The 7924-nt window shown below is 36.0% G+C and overlaps 1 long non-coding RNA gene across 1 annotated transcript in view; it reads right to left on the bottom strand.

Annotated features, from left to right (window-relative positions):
• Positions 1–4206: 4206 nt before the first annotated feature.
• The window catches only part of LINC01692 (long intergenic non-protein coding RNA 1692), a 217197-nt gene continuing 213479 nt past the window's right edge, over positions 4207–7924 (bottom strand). The window contains exon 4 of the long non-coding RNA NR_046198.3: positions 4207–6519. This is a non-coding gene — a long non-coding RNA (long intergenic non-protein coding RNA 1692). The remainder of the gene's footprint in view (positions 6520–7924) is intronic.

Below are 7924 nucleotides of genomic sequence, written 5' to 3'. Positions count from 1 at the left end.
TACCAATGAAGGTGAAATTCCGTGACTTCCAGTGGGCAGGGGTCAAGCATATATTTATTTTTGAAAGAATAATAAAAAATTACAGGCACAAAGGTTTTAAAAAAGTAGTTTTGTTTTTTATCCGTATTGATTTTTCACCTAAAATTATTGTAGGGTGTGCAGTTTTGAAATGAAGAGCAAAACAACAATGAAACCAGTCTTTTACACTTAGCATAATATATCAAAGCTTTGCTTTTCTTACCTCTTCTTTACCTTTGGCCTTTTCCACGGCAGCATCATTATTGTTGCTGTCTTTGTGAATTTGTCTAGATAAAGCTTTATGAATGCCTGTGGACAAGAGTGAGCAGTAAAATAAAGAAAGCTGATAAAGACATATAGAACCTTTAGTAAATCTGGCCAGCAACTCTTTTTTGTTTCTATGGATTTCCAGAAATAGTCGTTTGCTATAGTTTCCTTTTACATAAAAAAAAAAAAAAAAAAAAAAAAAAAAAACCCCCTCAGGTTGGGCGTGGTGACACACACCTGTAATCTCAGCACTTTGGGAGGCCGAGGCCAGTGGATCACCTGAGGTCAGGAGTTCAAGACCAGCCTGACCAACAAGGTGAAACCCTGCCTCTACTAAAAATACAAAAAAATTAGCCAGGCACGGTGGCAGGCGCCTGTAGTCCCAGCTACTTGGGAGGCAGAGACAGAATTAATTGAACCCGGAAGGCAGAGGTTCAGTGAGCTGAGATTGCCCCATCGCGCTCCAGCCTGGGCAAGGGAGCAATTCCGTCTCAAAAAAATAAATAAATAAATAAATAAATAAATAAATAAAAAATAAGACCAGGTGCAGTGGCTCACTCCTGTAATCCCAGCACTTTGGGAGGCCGAGGCAGGTGGACCATGAGGTCAAGAGATTGAGACCGTTCTGGCCAACATCATGAAACCCGGTCTCTACTAAAAATACAAAAATTAGCCGGGCATGGTGACATGTGCCTGTAGTCTCAGTTACTCTGGAGGCTGCTGCAGGAGAATTGCTTGAACCTGGGAGGCAGAGGTTGCAGTGAGCCGAGATCATGCCACTGCACTCCAGCCTGGAGGCACAGCAAGACTCCGTCTCAAACAAAAACAAACAAATAACAACAACAAAACAAACTTCATAGAATTTATTTAAAATGTTGAATCATAATAAAGATATGTATTAAAACCAGACTATCAACTCAAACATTTGTAGTATTTCTCATGAACAGGTAAATTATGGGGAAAAGTAGGCTAAAAGGAAGCTAACCAGAAAAATATACGCTATCAAAGACTGAATAGGCTTCAGTCCAAAATAGCAATTTCTAAATATAAAGTGCTATATTGGATTTACACCTTCAACTAGACTCACTTTGCATGTCTTTACAAATTAGCGAGATGGTTTTGTTGGGAGACAATTCTCTTGTGATCTCTCACATTTCTGCAAGTCTAATTTTCTGAACAAAGCCATTATCAGCCAATTTTCTCTAGATTTTCTTTGCAAGATGCTTGTAAAAGCAAATAGTCTTGAAAGGTGAGGATGTTCTCCTCCCTGGAGCAGATTTAAATTCCAGGTTCATAAAGGTAATGTCTCTCTCTGGAGAGGAGGTTGGGCCAATTTGCAAGGCAGTATCTATATAAGATCATGGACTTCCTAATATCAGTGTTCTGTAATTCATCCCACTGTAAGTAGGAAACACTTGACCCTCATCATGTTGCCCTGTGGGAATTGGGGCTCAGCAAATAAGGGCAAAATGTTACTCTGAATCCTGCTATAGCTGTGTGTAACAAACTGACCCAGAAACTTCACATCTTTCTGCCAGGATCTATGAAAATATGACAGGCTGTCTTGTTAGGCTGCAAATAGGATAACATCTGAGACATTGTTCCCCATGTGACAAGTTTATCTGAACTTTAATAAATGCCTTAACAGTTTTCTTCAACTGGATTATATTCTCTCATTGCTTTTCGAAAGACATTTGCTATTTTAGCTTAAGATTACTTTTCTCGTTATGCAAATAATATTTATCCACAGTAGAAAATTAGAGAAACTCTAAAATATAAAGAAGTCGTTAAAGATATCCGTAATTCTACTAGAGAAAATTATTAACAATATTTTAAATATATTCTTAGATCTGTCCCTCCTTGTGGGCATACACACACCCACATGCAAACAGACACATTCACATACAAATATAGAAATTTACAATTTGGGACCACAGTGCATATATTGTTATTTGGTACTTCAATTGTAGAGCCCCATATGTTCCCTATATGATACACTATCTTTAATAGGTTGTAAAAGACTTCAATTTGGTTTTATTTGTCTTATTATCTCCAATGTCCCTTATTTGTCCCTCCCAGTTTCCACAAATTATATTTAAGCTAATACTTATTGAATACACCCCACTGCACATAATCTACTAAGACCTTTATGTGTATTTTGTCAAAAATAATCTAAAAAACACTAAGAAGGTACTTTTTACCCTTTTTTCCCCTAGTTTCCAGCTTTTCATACCATATTTAGAAAGATATTTACCCTAGGCTAAAACATTATTTTATTTTATTGCCTTATACATTTACATTTAACTGCAATTCATCTAGTGAGTTAATGATTTAATATTTCCTTTTTTTTTGAGACAGAGTTTTGCTCTTGTGGCCCAGGATGGAGTGCAATGGCGCGATCTCAGCTCACTGCAACCTCTGCCTCCCGAGTTCAAGCGATTCTCCTGCCTCAGCCTCCCAAGTAGCTGAGATTACAGGTGCCTGCCACCACGCCCAGCTAATTTTTTTGCATTTTTTTAGTGGAGATGGGGTTTCACCATGTTGGCCAGGCTGGTCTTGAACTCCTCACCTCAGGTGATCCGCCTGCTACGGCCTCCCAAAGTGCTAGGATTACAGGCGTAAGCCATGGTGCCCAGACCATGATTTAATATTTCTAATTATTATGAGATTTAACATTTATTAGGCATTTATTTATACTATGGTCAAGTGCTTTCCTAAGTAGTATGTATTTATGATACTGTTAAACTCTCCCAATGTCTTCAGCTGGTAGGCTTATTTTCCTTTTAAAGACAAGCTAACTGAAACAGAATAAGTTAAAATGATCTTCCAAAAGTCACTGAGTTACTAGGTTACAAAGCTAGGACTCACATTGTGCTGAGAATGACGCCAGAACCTTCTCTGAACTGTGCTTTTCTGTCTACAAGAGTCAACCAAGTGTACTGCCACTGTTTGTTGAATCATCTCTCACTTTCTTCCTAATTAAAATATTTTTTGATGTTATGTGTAATTCAAACATGGAATGGACTTGAGTCTGTTTCTGGGCGTTCTGTTCTGTTACACAAATCTAGCTACTTACCTTGTGCCTTACAAAAGAGCTGCTACGTGGGAACAGCTAGCACAAACTGATACACACTCTTCCACCTAAGTTCTTGTAATAAACACTTCTAAGGGTCATATATGTGCTATATATAAAGAATTTTACGGTTTATTTAGAAGATATCAATATTTGTAGGGAATGAATACACATAGGAGGAAAAATATCAGGCTACTATAGTCATTCTCCAGTTTGTGATGTTGGAACACTGGAATTAATTGTGGAGAGAGACTGTTTTATAGTCCATCCCAATGTCAGGGTTGATGGCAGACTGTCCTGGATTTGCATCCAAGGAAGCCAGACAAATCAAAGACCCAGCCTACAGAGAAGGAGGAGCATAAATTCCATTCACATGGGATGACAGGGTGTCTTCTAAGATGGGATAATTTATAAAGGAACAATGTTTAATTGACTCACAGTTCTCCATGGCTTGGGAGGCCTTAGGAAACTTACAATCATGGTGGAAGGTGAAGGGAAAGCAAGAACTTTCTTCCTAAGGTGGCAGGAGAGAACGTGTGCATGCATGCATGCACAAGAGAGAGAGAGATTGGAAGTGACACACTTTTAAGCCATCGGCTCTTGTGAGAACTCACGCACTATCACAAGAAAAGCATGGGGAAACCAACCCCATGATCCTATCACCTCCGACCAGCTCCCTCCCTCTTCCCAAATTTCATCTCGAATAGATACATATCAGTAAGAATGCTAATAAACAGAAAATCTTTGTTAGTTGAAATTTTGGAATAAAGTATAATAATTTGAATACTTAGTATTTTATTCACTGAGATAAAATTTTGATGTTTTATGAATAGTCTATTGAACTGTAATTTTTCAGAAAATGGTGTTTATTAACATACATACAAATAAAAATGCATGTAGTCTTTGCTCTTCAGACATATACACATGAAGCTCCCCATTGAGATTTAGCAATTTGGCATTTCTTGAAAAACAATAATGAAACCTCTTATAATAAGCTATGACAGATAAAACTAGCTTTAAGAAATACTTATAAACAAGTCAAATCACATTAGAAAAATAATCTTGAATTGCCTTTTCAAGGTCTAGCTAATAACTTCTCTTTTCATTACAGTGAAATTTTGCTCTAATGAAATGATATGAATAGCCCCAATAATTTGCCCAGTCTCTTGAGCCTTATTTAATTGAGTTGAAAACTCATTGTAATGGGATTATCTCTTTGCACTTCTTGAATCAGCTCCTTCCTGAATTGGCTTCTCTTTCAGTTCATATATATTAGCAATGTAATTTTTGAGATGGGAGAGATTATGTGGACTATAGAGAGACAGCTTTGTGTAGTGTAAATCTAATTCAATTTTATATCTCAAAGGCTTAGACAGTGTTTCATTTTTAAGCCTTTCAGTACATTGGATGTAGGTAATGAAAATTTGTGTTAGAAAAGGAGTAAAACATTTGTGTTGTGGCAAGAGTAAAAAGCAAAACAAACAACAAACAAACAAACAAAAAGCCTGCAGCATTTTGCAAAAGATATGCTTGACTTTGAAAATGAAGAAAAATAATCAAGTGTATGCTGAGAACCATTCCTCCACATCAGCTAAGTTGCTTCACAGAGGAAATTACAAGCCTCACTCTATCCATGCTGGAGAAACACTGGGTTCTTATTGTAGACCATAGATGTGTGGCAGAAAGGAATGTCTACATCTTTGCAAGAAAACAAATCAGTGTTGTGAAAAATGCCAGTGAGCCCTTTGTGGAGTGAATGCCTAAAAAATTAATGCAGGGGCCGGGCGCAGTGGCTCACCCCCGTAATCCCAGCACTTTCCGAGGCCGAGGCAGGCGGATCACCTGAAGTCAGGAGTTTGAGACCTATCTGACCAACGTGGGAAAACCTCGTCTCTACTAAAAAAAATAAAATAAAATAAATACAAAAATTACTCGGGCATGGTTGTGCGTGCCTGTAATCCCAGCTACTCTGGAGGCTTAGGCAGGAGAACCGCTTGAACCTGGGAGGCGGAGGTTGCAGTGAGCCGAGATTGAACTATTGCACGCCAGCCTGGGTGACAGAACGAGACTCCATATAAAAAAAGAAAAAAAATTATGCAGGTCACTTTAGCGCCTTGTGCGATGCAGTCTCCTACAACACACTTGTGTTTAAATCATGGCTCATGCCACTTTGTATCTTTGTGTCCTGAAACAAATTATTTAAAATTCAGATCCCCAATTTTATCACTTGAAACATTGGGATAATTAAATCCAACTTAAAGACACTATTCTTATTAAATTAAATGTGATGGTAAATGCGCTTTAAAATGTGATGGTAAGCTACACTGTAAAATGATAAAAATGATGATCTCTAAGGTCACATGGAGTGGAAGTCTCCTAGGAGATCTATAAATGCAGCCAGCTTATTTCTTTAAAAATTTCAATTTGTAGAATATACATTCAATGTTGTATATTAATATAGCTTCATTATGAAAGCCAACATATTTCTAGGGTACTTATATTTGCTTGTCATAGAAGTTAAGCTGGTTTTAATACTGATTCTGTTGACTGTGGAATACTGCAATTGCATATCCAAGAACTATTGACTATTTTACTATTTACTTGAAAATTGTAAGCATTTATCATTTATTTACCCTAATATAGTTACATAAAGATGACATAAACATTAAATAAAACCTAAAGTATATCTTATGCCTATTAAATGGTATCAATGTTGTTCAAAACCATCTGGCCCATCAACACTAATGTAAATCATTCTGTGTGGCTTATTGGTCTAGAAAGAGTAAAAAATGAAAACATCTCCAGACAAAAACCACACTACAAGATAGTATATATGATTTTATCTATGTTTTGGATATGCATATCTTTGATGTACCGCTCTATAGGCAATTGGGATTTGGTTTGTCCCTTGTTAATTTCATCAGCCATTACACAGAATGAATAGTTGGCTTAGGAGGACCATTGGCTCAGGAAATTTAAAAGTAACCCTCAAATGATCCAGCACTCTTACTAAACAAATGCTGGCAGGATTTGAGGATGTGTCCTGTCATTTCCACACAAGAAACCTTACAGAACTTTGTTGTCATCTGAGAGGTATCACAGGGATGCGTAGTCTTCTGTTAGGAAAGATGACAATTGGTCCATAGAAAAAGACAAAGAATCTGGAAGAAGAGAATCGAAAGGAAGAAAATCATTTTTTAACAATGGGCTAACAGATAGATTCATTTTACATATTAATATATTAATGTAGTTTTTAGTTCATTCATTAATCTATTAATTCTATTGTACCCTCACTCAAGCAATTTTATATATTTTTTCTTCTATTTTTAAAATTTTGGTTTTGACCATCAATGCAGATACTTTTCTTTTTCTTTGAAGCAATAGTGACTGGAATACATGAGATAGTTCCTGCACATTAAACACTCTTAAAACAAATAAAAAAATTCTAGAATCTGAAGAAATTCAAACACTATTTTTAAAAAATTTAGCTAGTACACCATTGCTCTGTAGCCTGACCTGATTCCAAATTCCACTAATTAACCAGCAAATGAAGTGGTCATAAATATATTATTTTTGTTCTAACTTTAACTTTGTAATTACTTATGTGTAATATGTGTGACTCTAGTCATAGTGGTATCTATAAAAAGTTTCAATTCCATCTAAGTTAATGAGTACATGAGGAAGGAAATGTTTACAAAATTATTATAATTAAGTTTCTTTAAATGGCCACGTTTTGAGAACACAAGGAAATGAGTAGTTAGTTCCCTAAAGAGACAAGTGAGTATACTGTAAGGCACAAAATGTGCTTTCTTGCTTAGGTCACTTCAACTTCTTTGATTGGAGATAACTCACCTTGAGATTTCCCATACAACCTGAACGAAACAATCACTAAACCATGCTGACAAATGAAGGAACAAAATATAACATTTATTTCCAAAGAAAGTTGGTTCTTTCTACCACATGCTTTAGAGAAAAATAAAAACTAGCATAGTCTGTGTTTTTGCAAAACTGCTTATTATTTTTATGCTTCAAGAAGGCACAAAATTGAGCTTTAAAGTTTCATTCTGTTTTAAAGACCTCTTAAAAAGAGACATTAAATCCATAACACTTTAGAAGATGCTTAGGAAAGAGGACAGCCAGAAGATGAAATTTGAGATAGTTACATATGCATATCTTTATTTTCCTTCTTTGCTTTTTACTTTTCTTAATATAGGATTGGAATTTGTTGAGGAATATACTAGTTTCCCAGGAGATGTATGACCACAGGGGTGGGAATACTAGATTTAATTATGAAAAGATGAAGTTTATGGCTACAAAATTAATAAAGATATTTCATAAAAACCATCAGCATTTTACTTGTTGCCAAAATTGGAGACAGTATTTCAACATAGGCAACACTGAACAGCCTTCTTGTACCTTTCTGAACTCCTGAATTTTCTTTTTACTTCTTACTTGTGCCTCTGGATTTTCAGTGCTTCATACTCATCTGACTGTAAAAATAAATGAAAATTTTCTCTATCCAATCCAATTTTTTCATTTTCTTTTTCTAATTCTAATGGTGTTGGT

This window comes from Homo sapiens, chromosome 21 (assembly GCF_000001405.40).
Source record: "Homo sapiens chromosome 21, GRCh38.p14 Primary Assembly".
Lineage (NCBI taxonomy): Eukaryota > Metazoa > Chordata > Mammalia > Primates > Hominidae > Homo > Homo sapiens.
Note: the sequence above shows the minus strand (reverse complement) of the source record. Positions and strands in the feature narration are given on the sequence as shown.